Below are 18,247 nucleotides of genomic sequence, written 5' to 3' on the forward strand. Positions count from 1 at the left end.
GGTGATGGAGACATTGAGGAGGAGTAGACAGGTTGGTAAGAAGCCTCCATAATAAGTTGATATTCAAGCAGAGACATAAAAAGCCATGTGGATAAGTGTGTATAAGGGGATGCAACAGGGAGTCCTCCAGCTGAGAGAAGAGTAGGTGCAAAGGCCCTGAGGTAGGGTGTGTGCTTTGCATGTATGAAGAAATCAAGGCTGCTGCTGGAGCAGAGTGGATAGGAGAGGCAGAGTGCATGCCGGGCCTTGTGGGTCACCGTATGCACTTGCGGGTTATGCTCTGAATGAGATGTGAGCTACAGAAGAATTTGAGCAGCACAGTGCTGTCATCTAACTTACATTTTCAAAGGTTCCTTCTGGCTGCTTAGGGGTAGAAATCAGGTACGAGACTCCTGCTCACTCCAGGTGGAGTTGAACTAGGATGGCCATCATGCACAATGAAGCTGACTGGACTTGCTGAGAGAGCGGCTACAGAGTGAGAGAGAGGGTCAAGGATAGCTGCGAAGTTTGGCCCCTGAGCAGTGGAAGAATGGAGATGGGAAAGATAAGAGGAGGGACAGGTTTTGTGGGGAAATGAGTTCAGCTTGGACATGTGAAATTTGGCAGTATTTCATCTCCTATCAACCACTGAATTCACACTGCTCATTCATCAGTTTCTAGAAATGTAAGCTAGTTTTACCTCCTGGCCTTTGCACTTGCTGTACCCTCAGCTAGATGCTCTTCCTGTCTACATGGGCAGTGGGGTGCAGCCGTCTGAGAGACAGACAGGACTCTCACCCTTGGGCACCTTCTTTTTTCAGGTTTCAATATGACTGCCACTTACCTCTGATGTGTTGAAAGTAGATCTCAATCGCATGCACTGTTTGCTTTTTTGTAGCATTTGTCACTACCCGTGACCTTTGTGTTGTGTGTTTCTCTGCTAGTCTAGCTCCATGAGCATTGCTGGCACCTAGCTAGCGCCTGGCACATGGAGGATGCTCAGTTAACATTTATTAAATTGATTTAACAGAGACTAGCAACCACGGTTTTATACTCCAGGGGCTCACGGCCAGAATGAGAAGGATATGTCACTAAAGATTAGTCACAGGTGAGAAAGAGCAAGTGCAGAGAGGACCAAAGGAACACCTAGCAGCCAAGGGACAGGGCAGGGGCAGGGATAGGATCTGTCAGGGAGGGCGTCAGCAAGGCCAGTCAAGGGAAGATGAGCTGGGCAGGAGGGAGAGGGCATAGCCAGCCAGACCTGGGTTAAGTGGGCCAAGCCAGGCAGGGCCAGGATGAGCTGGCCTTCTCTCCACAGAGCTAGCAGACAGAGGGTGCACAGGCCACACCAGGACCAGGGCAGGGAGCACCAGTATAAAAATACCAGCAACGTCTGCCACAAAGCCATTTTGACAGCTCCTTCTCCAGGTGGTGGTGGGAGGCTCAGAGGCCATAAATCAGAATTAACTGCAGCTGTCATGCAAAGGGTGCTTCCCCAGGACGTTCATCCAGACACCAGGGGAAAGAAATCCCACTGGGCCACCCAGGCCAGCGCACCACATGTTCTCACCCCACCAACCACTGCTTTACCTCTGCAACTGCGGCCAAAGCTTCCCTCCAACAAACCATGACCTCAACAACCTTCACCTTGAACACAGGGCAGAGGTAAACCCTCCCACAAGTCCCACGAAGGCCAAGGCCTAAAGGAAATATGGCTGCTGAAAAATAATGAAACCCCTATGCACCCTAGAGCTACTCCTGCCTGAACCTGGGAGGTGTCCCTGAGGCTGTGTGGGTGAGACCAAGGAGGGTGACAATCGCACATCACCAAGGGAAGGAGGTAGTTCTTGTCAGCTCAGAGCAAGGAGCGGGGGCCCATGGTGGGGCAGCAGAGCTAGGCTGGGAGCACCAGCCAGGATAAAGCCCATCTGGCAAATTTCCCCAAATTGATTGGCACTGGCTGCTAAGAAGCTAAGGCTTGTTAGCAGCAGCTTTCAGAGCACAGTGTGGTGGGATCTGTGGATTTCTCCGCTCTGGGGTATTTTTCTTGGCTTCTTGAGGCCACAGAAAGTATGATCTCCCCCCATCCTCCAACCATGATCCTGGTCTGTGCCAGGGTTAATCCGGCTGCCCTGAAGGTCAGGAACCCCCTACATCAGCACTGTGTCTGGTACAGAGGGGACATGCTCCCTTGGAAGAACTCCTCGGCTCTCAGATTTCTGGGCACTCCAGAGGCAGCCCCGGGCCCTTCTGGGATGACTGGAGGCATATTAACAAGCGTGGGACGTTTGAGGGGGCCTGGCTCTGGGCCATTTCCTCTGCTGGGTTTTCGGCCCTCTGACCCTCCTCGGAGAACCTTTCTCTGACTGTGATGCAACAGCCCCTGCTCCCTAAGTCTCTGGCCTGGGCTCCTCATTCAGATGCTCCAGCCCACTCACAGTCTGGTCCTTCATCGCCCCCAAGTGGCTGTCTAGGCTCACTGCTCGCTGAGCTGACATATTTCGTTTTCCTTCAACATGGTAAATAGACACTGCTTTCCTACTATTCACCTGGCACCCTCACTAGACCTGCAAGGGACACAGTGCCTGTCCTAAAAAAAGTATAATCTCCTCAGGAGATGAGGGCACACCCTCAATGGAACACTGAAATCAAATAAGATAATATATGCTTTCAGGGAGAGATAAAGTCGCAGCAGAGAAGGAAAGGCTCAAAAAGACTGAAGCCATAGCATGCCTTTAAGCATGGAGTACATTGTGGTATGTGGAGAGGTTGGGGAAGGACTCCAGGAAGGAGGGATGACATGGGTAAAGACTGGATGAGGAAAGACCTGCAAGGAGTCAGAGAGGAAGGAAATGAAGCAGTATGCATGGCTGGAGCCAAGATCCCAGAAGAGAAGTCGCTTCTCTTCCAATGAAGAGAGCAAGAGAGACCCCAGCCAACTCCTCCCAAGTTATGGAGCACCTTGAAAGGGGCTTTTTCCTTTAAATACCAAAGCTCTCAAAAAAGATGAATCTGACACCCAAGCATGGGGTTGAGTGGACACAACAGGCTCCAGAAGTAACAAGCACAGCGGAGCCACCTAGGGAGCCAGCGGGCCCACCCCAGCCCTTTGAAGGATCCCGTCTATCTGTGGAGAAGAGGAGGCTCTGGCACTCACTAAGCCCCTGCCGTATATCTGATCCATGCAGGTGTCGAATCACCTGCTATCTTATTTAAGCACCACGCGGGCTCCTGTGGGAGGCCTGTTCCCTTTTTCACAAATGGAAAGGCCAGGGCTCAAAGAGGTTAAGCATAAGGTCACATAGGTAGGAAGAAGCCAAGCAGAACTTCAAGCCCATCTGTGATTCCACATCTGTGTTCTTCCCAAAAATCACAGTTTACATTAGTGTGGGGGTATAATCTGTAGACGTGCTTTCATATGCTTTATTTAATTTAATCATCATATTAACCCCAGGAAGCTGGAGGTATTATTTCTATTTTATGGAAGAGAAAATAAAATCTCCAAGAAATAATATGCCCCATGACTCATTATCTAGTAGGTGGCTAGGCTAAGATTTAAAATTCAAACACCAGTGTGTTTGGTAACCTAGACCCTTTCACGACTCCACAGTGATACTGTTTTGTGTCACCTCCTTCCATTAAAGTGTGGAGACTGAGAGTTTTCCCACAAAAACTGTCCTGCTGTCTCCCAGCCCAAGTTCATTCTCACCTAAGTGCCCTACCCATGCCTTGTCACAGGAAGTCAGAAGCACACACACTCCAAGGACCCCGACCACCAGGCACAGTTCCCGCCCCTCATTAGCAGATGTGGTTGATTTGTTAGTTTTGTCACTGCTGCCCTTGAATATCTCCATGCTCAGGTTCTGGGATGGGGCACAGCTAGGAACAAATATCCTTGAGATTGCATGAGTGCCCCTAAATCTAAAGCCATGGTCTGGGGAGCCAGAATGGGTGAAGGGGTGATACAGACATGTTTTGTTAAAGGACTTCCCTGCCATTTCTCCTGAGAACCCTTTTCCTTAGCGATGAAAATGTGTGGGGGACAACCTCTCTCCAACTAGAGGGATTGTCTGGGTGGAAGAAACAGCTCCCAGCAACAGGAATGATGTAGGAAGGCAAGACACACATCCCAAGGTGGGATGGCAATGATTCTCACTACCTGAGTATAGATTATAGGATAAAAAGTAACAGAAGCGCAAGAGAAGCACAAAGGCAGATTCCACAAAGGATCAGAACAAGGGCTCATGTTTATTGGGATTTAGGTGCTAAGGACTTCACTGCTCCATTCCAAATGAGCACCATAACCACCCAGCGAGGCCACAATTCTCATGCTTCCATTTGACAGATGAGAAAATGGAGGCTCTGGAAGCTTAGGTAACTTGCCCAAGGGTTTGTAATCCAGTGAGGCTGATTCCCTCCCCTCTGCCCATAATCACTGTTTGATATAATACTCCCCTGAAGTATTCTATCAAAGGCCTCACCTTCAAGAATTTCTGATTTAAAAGGTCTGGGGTATGGCCTGAAAATCTGTATTTTTAACAAGTTACCAGATGACTCGGAAGCTTTGAAAATGATTATTCTAGAAGTTGGATGGCTAATCAATAATTTACTCAAAATCAACCCAAGTTCAATGGCAACAGGGATGTGTATCATCTTGCATTTGGGGGTGAACTGGGCTGGTGATGCTGATGCATCTTAGCTTTAGCAGTAACCAGCTCTGAGCCAGATCCTCTCCCTCATGTCTGGCTCTTGTGGAGCAGGGCACAGAGGTGGGCACTGCACTGTTAAGCCTTGAAAGAGGCCCCAGGGGGCTAATCCATCACACAAGGACAGCACCACTGTGGGAGGCTCTAGGGACTCTGACAGCCCACAAGTGCTGGAGTCTGAGCCACCAGCCATGAGCCCAGCTGTGCAGCCCAATCCTACTCTCTATTTTGCCCGAACCACAAGCATCTGAAATGTGCATCCCTGGAGGTTTGATTTTAGCATTTCAAGATCAAGAAGCAGACACACTTGCCTTGTCTGCTGCTCCAAGGGCACACAGTCCCCTCCCACCTCTACTCCACACATAGCCCAACCATAGAAGATGGCAACTGGAGGAGAAAAGGGAGGAGGGAAAGACAGTAGCCAGGAGGTGGTGAATAGAGGAGCTCAGAAGACCCTACCCCCTCGTGTCCCGGGACGTGCTGCCCCTGTCAGGGGAGTCCTAGACAAGGTCCAGTTGCAGTTCGTGGCAAGAGATTTAAATTCATAGTAAAAGCATGGTTCTCATGTTTGCCTGTGTGGCTGCATCTCTGCTCTGCTTCAGGTCAGGCTGACCCTAGACTCCTAACATGGACAGACAGTCCAAATGCAGATATACTGTATGTACGATGAGTTGTCCAGCTGGAAAATGCACTTTCTAATGATGCCACACTTTGGATCTTTAGATCTTTGGATCATTAATAGAGCATTTAAAAAGAAGCAGGTAATTTGTAGAAGCTCTAAAAGCCTTTGTTGAAAATTCATTGCTCTGCAGCAATCAGATATTATAGTTCTAGGGCCGCCAGCGTCCTTTGACGAAGAATGTCAAATATAAGCAGAGCAATTATGAGCCGCTGGTGAGTCCCAGGGCAATATTCAAAAGAAAATAATAAATAATTTTTTAAAACATGTTTTAATATTTGATGAACGTAAAAATTAAAAAAGTAAAACATGCCCTTATATGAAACCAGCTATGTAGTTTAGGAAGCAAAAGTGACAGTTCCATTTGTTTTATGTTGGTGTAAAATTCACAAAAATTTAAAAACCAGGTAAATACAAAGCACAAACAAAACAAAACAAAACAAAGAATGCAAAGGAAAAGAAAGAACAGATTCTATAAATCCGGGGTTGCACCACCAGCTGCTCTGATGCTAAGCATAGGGTTTGATTGCCCAGATGAAGGGGAAACACTGGTGTGAACAAGAACAAAGACACAGTTTTAAACCCTGCACGAAGGGTTCGGGTGCAGAGAGGAGAGACATCACCTTACTCAGTAGTCTTCCCTGTCTGGCTTAACTAGTGTCCAAAAGGAAAGTGCATTCTAGATTCCCTAGGCTTGCAAGAGATAGTGAAGAGACAAAAAGATACCACTAATTCATTGCCCTGGCCAGCCTTTTAGATCCGTGGTTCTCAACATAGTCTGAACATCAGAGTTATCTGGGGAACATTTAACATCTTAATGTCAGGTCACTCCTCAGACTAATTAAGTAAGAATTGGTAAGAACCAGGCATCAAAGTTTAAAGTTTTTAAAAAATATTTCAATGGGTCAATGGTCAGGCTGAGAGACACTGCTCTAGAATACTCTGACTTAATGTTGAATTTCCTGGATTTTTTGGCAGATTTTGATAATCTGCTTTATGCCATCATCCACGTGGTCAGTTAAGATCTGGCCACAAATCCACCTCACTGCCCATTCCTGACACTCTGCATCCTTATATCCTTATCTTGCACTGATTACCTCACAATGGGCATGAACCAAAGTCGAGCAATTAATTGATACTTTAAAAAACAACAGAATAAAATTGTGAAAGTGTATCCCAGTCCTCTCCGCATAAAATGTCTTCTAAGAACACAATAACATCCTATCCAATTTCATTAGCCACAAATGCCTTTGCAAAGTAAACTCAATTCTTAAAAAAACGTTAGCAAGCCAAAGGTTTCTTCTCCCATTGTCAATCAGTTCCTTGATTTTATCCTTTGCCTCACAAAACATTTTGTGGAAGATCTGCCACCTACCTCTTCAAATAACTTGTTTTTTTCCTTCAGGTTGTGTGATAATATGGTCATTCTGATTTTTGTCCTAAGAGAAACTTATACCAGACAGACAGGTCTTAGATCATTTTTTCTCCCACTTTACCATCATGCTGTTGTTCAATTTTTTTTTAAAAAAAGTTCTTTTAGAAGTGCCTCTTCCAATCAAAGGAAGGCCATTTATTTCAAGATATATAAATAGCTGTGGATTTTTAAGATTCTTAAGATTTCTAAGATTTTTAAGATTCTTAAGATTTTTAAGAGCTCTGACTCTCTATAGCGTTCATTTTCCTCCCAATTTTCTTATTCCTACACAGCCTGAAAAATATTCCCTGTGGAGAAAGCTATAACAAATGCTTCAAAAAAGGGGGACTGTGCCAATTTATATGTGAAGTTCACATATAAACTTCAACACTACCAATAGCTACACATTCCTAGATGAGTATACATGTCACAATTCTGAGAAAGCATCTGGAGAAGACTATGCTATTAGAAGTTCTAACAGGGGTCATTATCATAAACCAGTAGATAGAAGAATCTAATCTCTACTTTCATCTCTGCTCAGACTCTCTCATGCATCTGGGTGAACACTGCTTGGATTCAAAAACAAAGGGAAAGGATTGAGATTATTTGATGACTTTGGACTTTGTTTATCGATACTTGAGATAATCAGATTATTTTTTATTTTTTAATCTCAATTTGTCTTATACCTATATTAATGTTTTTGTCTGTATTCTATGTTTTAAACCATGCATATTTCATTATGACACAGCCATGGTTTACAAGTTATCAATCACCTAATCTTCAGGAGTAGATAATGACTGTGTAAAAAAATGTTTTTTTCCAGGATTTGAATCAAGGAATAATTTGGTAAGGTGCCTAAAAGAGAATCAACCTCCAGGAATCATGTTCAAATCTCTAGTTGACCCATCTTGTCCCCATACCAAGTCCAGAGTATCTGATCCCATGAGAAGAGGCCTAGATTTTAGAAAGACTTGTGTTTCAGCCTGCTCTCTGCTCTTCCAATGGGTATATTACTTGTTTTAATGTACGAGGATATTCATTGCAGTGGAATTGATTATGAAGAAAAGTTTAAAAGCAACAGAAATGGCCAACAATTTATACTTAGTTGAATTCAGTAAATTTTGATATTGAACATCAATATAATGAAAAATACGCAGTCATTCAAACTGTATTGTAGAGGGATATATGGAGACATGTATTAGGATATAGATTTAGCTACTATTAAGAAGACTCAATTTATAATGAAGCAAAGAAAATGGGAGTTTCTTCCTTATTCACAGTTTGGAGATGGTCAGTCCAGGGCTTGCAGTAGCTCTGCTCCATGAAGTCACTCAGGGCCCCAGTCTTTTTATATTTTGTTCCTCTGTCTTCTATCTTGTTAACAGTCTATTTTGTCATATCAGCCTTCTGTCTCATTATCATTCTATTTTGTTGTCAGTCTATGTATCTTGTTATCAGTCTTCTTCTATCCTATTATCTTGTAGAGCATGATCCAAGACAGTACACACTTTGTCTTCATTCCCTTTAGCTGAAAGTAGCAAGAGTGGGCAACGGAGGGCATATCCCTTTCCTTCAGTGCAGTACTCCCATCCCTTCCACTGGCTAGAACTTGGTCACATGGCCACATCTAGATGGAAAGGAGGCTGGGAAGTAGGGTTTTTAAAAGAATTGTGGACAATCATAAAACATTTTGATGGATTCTGTTACTAAAGAGCAAGTGAGCACAAATAGCAGTCTCTGATTCAGCACAGAAACATTTTTACAACATACTTAGTAGAAAAAAACAGGAAACAAAACAGGACCAGTTTTACATGTCTGTGTGTACTCATACATAGAATTCCTTTTCTATATAAACAGTGGTTATCTTTGCGAGTTGGAATTATGGATGATTCCAATTTCTTCTTCTTGCTTTTATTGTGGAAAAAAGTCCCAATTGTTTTACAAATTAACATTTTTCCCCCAGTAATAAGAAAAACCTCACAATTTGTACATTAAAAAGAAGTAATTTAGGAGAGAAAGCAGTGCCTCTTGTGTGCTTGTAGCTGTCTGCCTTTCTTCTCAGTTGTTCCTCTGCTGGGCCTCTTTTGTTGGTGGATCTCTTGGTTCTCATGCAAAGTAATAACATTGTCCAGGCTGAATGGGTGTATTACTTTTTAAAAGAGGAGTAAGAGAGCTCCGTTTGGAAATTTCATTTTCATTGTGGATAATGGAGTGGTGTGTTAGTTGTTGATGTTCAAATGTCTATTTTGTGTGTTAGTTGACCTGCCTCAGCTTTCCCATGATGACCAATCTCAGGGAAACTAATCGATTTGGAGAGAACACATAAAAGCAGGCACAAGATTCATCTGCCCCCTTTCAGCCAGACTGTTTCACCATGCCAATCTACCAGGAGCACTGTGTTTCCATGCTGAAATTCCTTTCCAGTATTTCTTGGAAAACTTACATCTTTCTGAACACCTCAATTTTGAGAAAAATCAGTCAAGAAATCAGGAAAATGAAAAACAAATAATATAAATCTCCTTTGAGAGTTAAAACTTAACGAGTAACACAAAGACACTCCTGGCTTGAAGTTCAAACAAGAACAGGAAAATTTGGCAAGAAAAATCAAAGGTTAAGGTGGACATTTCTAGGAACCAGACATTAGCCCAAAGACAGTCATAATCTAATTAATGTTTCCTTTGTAGCTATGGACATGTTTATGAGTGTGTGTCCTTGGCCTTCTCTGCTGCTAATAGTGAGTCATTCTTTCAAGTAAAATGAATATTAATAAGCTTATAAATATAGTATGCTTTATACAAATCTTATGAGTGGTGCTTCAAGAAATAGTAAGTTTTGCAAATAAATTACATCCTAAAATGGGCAATTTTGACATGCGATTCTGTGAAGTATCATTTATCTCCCTGGGAGATCTGAATACTACATTATCGCAGTACCATCCAAAAATGTGCCAGCATTTTCCAGTGTTTAAATCTGTAGGCTACAATTCTTCATAAAGTCTCTAAACCTTCCTTTTACTTCTTATTTATTGAAACAACTTTTTCTGCTATCCATAATAATAATTAAGAAATATGAGAAATGTTCAAAGTTTTTTTTTTAAAAGGTATGATTTTGGAAATTCCTGAAAATCCCCAGGATTCCAATTTCCAGTTTCCAAATTCTAAAGACCCTCAGAAGTTTGGAAACACTGCTGTCAACTACAACTCCTAAATTTCTTAGTTTGGTGCCCTTATGTCTGCCTCCAACCTGGGCTGTCATCTGCCTTGGACTGGATTGCTGAACCAGCCTCCTGACAGGATCCTCGCAGTCCACTCTCTATACCAGAGCCAGACAGACCTTATGGAAACACAAATCTATTGGTTTCATCCCTTCACATGAGACATTTTAATGGCTGCCAATATGACAACAAGGTGCTCAACTTCATTAATAACCTGGGAAATTAAAATTAAAATCACAATTAAGGATCAGGGCATACCGATCATATTGGCAAAAATGTAAAGTCCCAGATTCATGAGGGTAGGGACAATATCCATTTTTGCTCACCATTTTATTTGTAAGCTTAGCACAATGCCAGACAACTAGTAGATGCTTAATGTCCATTTGTAGATGAATGAATGGGCAAATGAATGAGATTGATACATGCAAGGGCTCCCATTTTATATTACACAGTGTCACCCCACACATGGAAAAATTGAGTCCCCTAGGCATTGTTCAACCTTATTTTTCTTCTCTTAGGCTGAGATCCAAAGATCCCTTGATTTGTCAAATGCCTTCTCCCATCACAGTGGTGAAATAGATTCTTATGAGCCCAAATTTTCCCATCTTAAACAAAGAGAGACTGTACAACAGGCTTGGTGTTTCCTTTGTTCCGAGAAATTATCAAACGATATTAAATTCTATAAAAATCTATCAAACATAGCCACCGTTATCAACACTATTTCTTCCTGTTTTATGGGATTGCAGTGAGAAAACAAATGAGATAATATACATAAAAGTGCTCCATAAAGCACAAAACGTCATGCAACATTAGAATCCAACATTAGTAAATCGGCATGCCTCCACTTTACAAGCAAACCCCATCTACATACATTTATATCACAGAGCCTGGGCACAGCCTTAAGCCAACCTGGAGAGATCCTCTCTTTATCTGGGAGCACTTTCTTTTCTGATTCTCTTGCCCTGCTTTGGGTGTATTATAATTCAGTACCTGACTTCCACAATCAAGATTTTCCTTCTATCTGGAGAAAAATGCATTTTAGAATCAAACACACCTGGTTTTGAATTTTGACTTTGTGGCTTATAGCTTCTTTGAACACTTAACTAGTCCCTTTCATTTCTGAGACTCATTTTATGCACCTGTTAAATGGGAATAATCATCTCTCCCTAATGAGGGTGTTTTGGGAGATCAAATAAAGCCATATGCTCAAAGTAGCTTCCTCATTATCCGATTCATAATGAATATGAGCTCTATCAATTCCCTTCTATTTCCCTGAGTAATCTCAACGAATTGAAAAGCTTATTTTCACTAATAGGAGAGAGCAAAAAGCAGTTTCTCTTTAGTAAGACAAAAAAGTGGGAATATCAGGCTGGGTAAGATAGTATTTAGCCCCTTAACAAAGCAAAGGGTTAGGACTTGGTCACATAGAAGCCTAACAGCTGCTCTCAATGACCACCAAATTTTCTGGGGTGTTGGAAGAATTCGAATACACAAGAAAAGAAGCTGACCTACTAAGCAAAGACCCTTGTCTGACAATATGTTCTAGGAGTATGATGATTTCCCAGGTCTCAAAATCATAGTCAACCAGAATTGTACTATCCTAGGTTTGACTGTACCATTTTAACACATTCTGGGAACAACACCAACAACAATCTGGATACCAATTGAGGGCCCCAAATTACTTATTCCTTAAACCTAAACTTTCATTCTAAGGAATTATCATCTTAGACCAAGACTTGCAATAGGAATGGCCTTGTCATAGGTTTGCTGTGAGACTTTATGCGAGACCACCCCTCTCTGGGCTCCATATAAACCGATCTACAAACTGAGTAGTCTGGGCTTGGAAAGTCTCAGGGCCCTCCCCAAAGTTGCATCCTGTTGATTAATGATACAAGCCTTTGACTGGCAATTCATGCCTCAGGATCAGGGACTGTTTCCCTTGTTTTGAAATCAAAATCGTGTCAGTTGTATTTGAAGTCTGTTCCTGCACTCCCTGTTCTTTCAACAGAGAGAAAAAGAACTACTCATTGTTCCAAACTCTCAGGACTTCCTCTGTTTTCTGATTTCTTGTTTCATACTTGCACTGAGGTCCCCAGCCTCAGCTCTGTAACCACCAGGGTGATGGCTGACAGCACAATGCAGCACATCAGGTCATCCTGATATCAGCAAAGGATGTTTTTATTCTGTGCCCTCTCCCCATCACCTCGACACAAACAAATATCTGGTGCACAATATGAAAGTTTGCTTATTTCCAATCTGACTCGGTTGGTACATTAGTTGAATCAGAAGGGGTTTTGATCAAATACAAAAAGTTCCTAGCTATAACAATCTCACGACAAGAATTTTGCAGGATAGTCACAATTTCAAATATTACAGGCCTCCTTTCGTATCCATGAGGTATTGGTTCTTAGAACCTTCATGAGCAAATACCAAAATCTGGGGATGCTACATATAACCCATGCACATTCTCTCATATCTTTTAAATCAGTCCTAGATTACTTATGATACCTAATACAATGTAAATGATAGAAATAGTTGTTATACTGTATTGTTTTTATTTATATTACTTTTATTGTTTTTTTATTGTTTTTTTCCCCAAATATTTTAGATCCTTCACTGGTAGAATCTGCAGATGCAGAACCATGGACATAGAGGACTGACTGTACATTGTATTTTCAGATCAAGAGTTCTAAATTTTAACTATGAAAACACTCACTGCAATGAGGATTAAGAGCAGTAAGATGGTTGCAAAATTGACCTATGTCAGAGATGTAAGTGATGAAGAAAATCCATGCCTGGTATTCACAGCAGAATCAACCTGAACAGCAAGAAAGCATGCAACTTAGCAAAAGCCTTTTCACCATGATAAGCCCCAAAGCGTGCATTGTTTCATGTGTGTGGTTTTACTGCCGTCTAGTGTCTCAGAGTGTTAAGGATGTGTTGAACCTGGAAATGCCTTCTTACCACTAATTATAGAGTCACAGTTTCCAAAATATTATCACTTAATGAAAAAAAGAGATAATCTAGTGAACATCAACAACTTTTGTATAGGTGTCTAATTGAAGATGAGAGAGTAAAAGACTTGCTCAGTCAGCCAAAATTAGAAACAGTACAGTAATGATTAATCACCTCATTCATTTCATTGCAAAATATTGGAGAAAACAATTTACATTATTTGTTCCCTAAGTTAGATCCTTTTCTCTGAGGTCCCTCAGGGCAGAAAATTGCACCTCTGACTTCAGAGCCAGGGTTCTTAATTCAAACTTTGTGCCTAAGCTCCTTTATATCCTCCAGGAGAGAGGAAAAACAAGGTCCCTCTTGCTTACAACCGTATTCCAAGTGCTTTGGATAGAGTTTGACACATGTTAGGTGTTAAGTCACTACTTATTGAATAAACCAATCAATGAATAAATAGCAGGGTAATTTGTTGAAATACTAATCATGGGTTTTTTGTTATTGTATATTTATCTCATTGCTATAGGTATGTACACAAGCTGTTGAAAGAGCAGAATTTAGTAGGATGTAGTCACAAAGCAATTCTGTCCCAATTACTGCCCTTTCATACCTGCTTAGTGGGCTAGTTGCTTTTATCCCTCTCCCACACAAGTTTCTCAGAAATTTTGTGGGCATGCGACCATGCCCACAGCAAGAAGCATGTTTTGCAGGGCCCAGGGCACACACTCACATGTGTTCATGAAACAAAAGTTTCTGGAAATAGTGATCTTTACTATGTACCACATGCCCTGATATTTCCAATTCCATTCATTCTCTGTGTTTTTTAAAGCTGGTCATGACATACGAAATGGGTTTTATGACTCACTAAGAAACTATGAACTTCAGTTTGTAAAACCATATACTGAACTGATTTCTGCAGTCCCTCTGAATCTTTTCCTCTTGCCCCTCTGAGATTTCACACATGCCACTCTTTCTGGTAGGATTCACTTTCTCTTCTCCACTCCTCCTTTGGCTACTTCAATTGTGTATTAGGGTTCTCTCGAGGGACAGAACTAATAGGATATACATATATATATGAAGTTTATCAAGTAGTATTCACTCACATGATCAGATGGTCCCACAATAGGCTGTCTGCATGCTGAGGAGCAAGGAAGCCAGTCCGAGTCCCAAAGCTAAGAACTTGGAGTCCAGTGTTCAAGGGGAGGAAGCATCCAGTATGGGAGAAAGATGTAGGCTGGAAGGCTAAGCCAGTCTAGCCTTTTCATGGTTTTCTGCCTGCTTAATATCCTGGCTGCGCTGGCAGCTGATTAGAAGGTGCCCACCCAGATTCAGGGTGGGTCTGTCTTTTCCAGCCCTCTGACTCAAATGTTAATCTTCTTTGGCAACACCCTCACAGACACACCTAGGATCAATATTTTGCATCTTTCAATCCAACCAAGTTGACATTCAGTATTATCCATCACAAGTTGTTTCCTACCTTTCCTGCACATTAGAATCACACAGGATGCCTTAAAAATATACTAGTGCCTGGTCTCCTTCCAACCCATCCCTCAACCCCTACTCTGTGATTCTGATTTAATTGGTCAGGGTGGAGCCCTGACTCCCAGGTGGTTCCTCATGGGCAGCCAGAATTGAGAAGCACTTGGCCTCACTCCTACTCAATCTTCAAAGTTTATCTGCAACATCCCCTCCAGGAAACTTCCTCTCCCACCCCCGACACACACACACACACACGTGCATGCACACATGCACACACACACACAAACACAAACACACGAGTCCACAAGCTCCTAGCTCTCTCTGGTCCAGTCTCTATAACATTCACCACGTTTTATTATATTTGCTCTTCTATCTGTCTTTCCTCTAGGTGGTGAATGGCTTGAAGGCAGGGATGTATCACATCTTATGCCTGTAAACTTAACCTACTTAGCACACAAAATGTGCTCAGTAAATATCTGTTGCATGACCTCTGAGGCAGTTCCTATCATTATCCTATTTTACAAGTGTGAGTTCTTTTTTTTTTATTATACTTTAAGTTTTAGGGTACATGTGCACATTGTGCAGGTTAGTTACATATGTATACATGTGCCATGCTGGTGCGCTGCACCCACTAACTCGTCATCTAGCATTAGGTATATCTCCCAATGCTATCCCTACCCCCCTCCCCCCACCCCACCACAGTCCCCAGAGTGTGATATTCCCCTTCCTGTGTCCATGTGATCTCATTGTTCAATTCCCACCTATGAGTGAGAATATGTGGTGTTTGGTTTTTTGTTCTTGCGATAGTTTACTGAGAATGATGATTTCCAATTTCATCCATGTCCCTACAAAGGACATGAACTCATCATTTTTTATGGCTGCATAGTATTCCATGGTGTATATGTGCCACATTTTCTTAATCCAGTCTATCATTGTTGGACATTTGGGTTGGTTCCAAGTCTTTGCTATTGTGAATAATGCCGCAATAAACGTACGTGTGCATGTGTCTTTATAGCAGCATGATTTATAATCCTTTGGGTATATCCCCAGTAATGGGATGGCTGGGTCAAATGGTATTTCTAGTTCTAGATCCCTGAGGAATCGCCACACTGACTTCCACAATGGTTGAACTAGTATACAGTCCCACCAACAGTGTAAAAGTGTTCCTATTTCTCCACATCCTCTCCAGCACCTGTTGTTTCCTGACTTTTTAATGATTGCCATTCTAACTGGTGTGAGATGGTATCTCACTGTGGTTTTGATTTGCATTTCTCTGATGGCCAGTGATGATGAGCATTTTTTCATGTGTCTTTTGGCTGCATAAATGTCTTCTTTTGAGAAGTGTCTGTTCATGTCCTTCGCCCACTTTTTGATGGGGTTGTTTGTTTTTTTCTTGTAAATTTGTTTGAGTTCATTGTAGATTCTGGATATTAGCCCTTTGTCAGATGAGTAGGTTGCGAAAATTTTCTCCCATTTTGTAGGTTGCCTGTTCACTCTGATGGTAGTTTCTTTTGCTGTGCAGAAGCTCTTTAGTTTAATTAGATCCCATTTGTCAATTTTGTCTTTTGTTGCCATTGCTTTTGCTGTTTCGGACATGAAGTCCTTGCCCATGCCTATGTCCTGAATGGTAATGCCTAGGTTTTCTTCTAGGGTTTTTATGGTTTTAGGTCTAATGTTTAAATCTTTAATCCATCTTGAATTGATTTTTGTATAAGGCGTAAGGAAGGGATCCAGTTTCAGCTTTCTACATATGGCTAGCCAGTTTTCCCAGCACCATTTATTAAATAGGGAATCCTTTCCCCATTGCTTGTTTTTCTCAGGTTTGTCAAAGATCAGATAGTTGTAGATATGTGGCGTTATTTCTGAGAGCTCTGTTCTGTTCCATTGATCTATCTCTGTTTTGGTACCAGTACCATGCTGTTTTGGTTACTGTAGCCTTGTAGTATAGTTTGAAGTCAGGTAGTGTGATGCCTCCAGCTTTGTTCTTTTGGCTTAGGATTGACTTGGTGATGCGGGCTCTTTTTTGGTTCCATATGAACTTTAAAGTAGTTTTTTCCAATTCTGTGAAGAAAGTCATTGGTAGCTTTATGGGGATGGCATTGAATCTGTAAATTACCTTGGGCAGTATGGCCATTTTCACGATATTGATTCTTCCTACCCATGAGCATGGAATGTTCTTCCATTTGTTTGTATCCTCTTTTATTTCCTTGAGCAGTGGTTTGTAGTTCTCCTTGAAGAGGTCCTTCACATCCCTTGTAAGTTGGATTCCTAGGTATTTTATTCTCTTTGAAGCAATTGTGAATGGGAGTTCACTCATGATTTGGCTCTCTGTTTGTCTGTTGTTGGTGTATAAGAATGCTTGTGATTTTTGTACATTGATTTTGTGTCCTGAGACTTTGCTGAAGTTGCTTATCAGCTTAAGGAGATTTTGGGCTGAGACAATGGCGTTTTCTAGATATACAATCATGTCGTCTGCAAACAGGGACAATTTGACTTCCTCTTTTCCTAATTGAATACCCTTTATTTCCTTCTCCTGCCTAATTGCCCTGGCCAGAACTTCCAACACTATGTTGAATAGGAGTGGTGAGAGAGGGCATACCTGTCTTGTGCCAGTTTTCAAAAGGAATGCTTCCAGTTTTTGCCCATTCAGTATGATATTGGCTGTGGGTTTGTCATAGATAGCTCTTATTATTTTGAAATACGTCCCATCAATACCTAATTTATTGAGAGTTTTTAGCATGAAGGGCTGCGGAATTTTGTCAAAGGCCTTTTCTGCATCTATTGAGATAATCATGTGGTTTTTGTCTTTTGTTCTGTTTATATGCTGGATTACATATATTGATTTGTGTATATTGAACCAGCCTTGCATCCCAGGGATGAAGCCCACTTGATCATGCTGGATAAGCTTTTTGATGTGCTGCTGGATTCGTTTTGCCGGTATTTTATTGAGGATTTTTGCATCAATGTTCCTCAAGGATATTGGTCTAAAATTGTCTTTTTTGGTTGTGTCTCTGCCCGGCTTTGGTATCAGAATGATGCTGGCCTCATAAAATGAGTTAGGGAGGATTCCCTCTTTTTCTATTGATTAGAATAGTTTCAGAAGGAATGGTACCAGTTCCTCCTTGTACCTCTGGTAGAATTCAGCTGTGAATCCATCTGGTCCTGGACTCTTTTTGGTTGGTAAACTATTGATTATTGCCACAATTTCAGCTCCTGTTATTGGTCTATTCAGAGATTCAACTTCTTCCTGGTTTAGTCTTGGGAGAGTGTATGTGTCGAGAAATTTATCCATTTCTTCTAGATTTTCTAGTTTATTTGCGTAGAGGTGTTTGTAGTATTCTCTGATGGTAGTTTGTATTTCTGTGGGATCAGTGGTGATATCCCCTTTATCATTTTTTATTGTGTCTATTTGATTCTTCTCTCTTTTTTTCTTTATTAGTCTTGCTAGCGGTCTATCAGTTTTGTTGATCCTTTCAAGAAACCAGCTCCTGGATTCACTGATTTTTTGAAGCGTTTTTTGTGTCTCTATTTCCTTCAGTTCTGCTCTGATTTTAGTTATTTCTTGCCTTCTGCTAGCTTTTGAATGTGTTTGCTCTTGCTTTTCTAGTTCTTTTAATTGTGATGTTAGGGTGTCAATTTTGGATCTTTCCTGCTTTCTCCTGTGGGCATTTAGTGCTATAAATTTCCCTCTACACACTGCTTTGAATGCCTCCCAGAGATTCTGATATGTTGTGTCTTTGTTCTCATTGGTTTCAAAGAACATCTTTATTTCTGCCTTCATTTCGTTATGTACCCAGTAGTCATTCAGGAGCAGGTTGTTC

General features: G+C 41.7%; 1 annotated feature.

Annotated features, from left to right (window-relative positions):
* Positions 2,368 to 2,457: an enhancer, noted in NCBI's record as "active region_23181". NCBI's record gives its function as "activates an Ori minimal core promoter by ATAC-STARR-seq in GM12878 lymphoblastoid cells {active_cell/tissue: GM12878}" and the evidence as "EXISTENCE:reporter gene assay evidence [ECO:0000049][PMID:35858748]".

The sequence above is a fragment of the Homo sapiens genome, chromosome 5, assembly GCF_000001405.40.
Source record: "Homo sapiens chromosome 5, GRCh38.p14 Primary Assembly".
Classification (NCBI taxonomy): domain Eukaryota; kingdom Metazoa; phylum Chordata; class Mammalia; order Primates; family Hominidae; genus Homo; species Homo sapiens.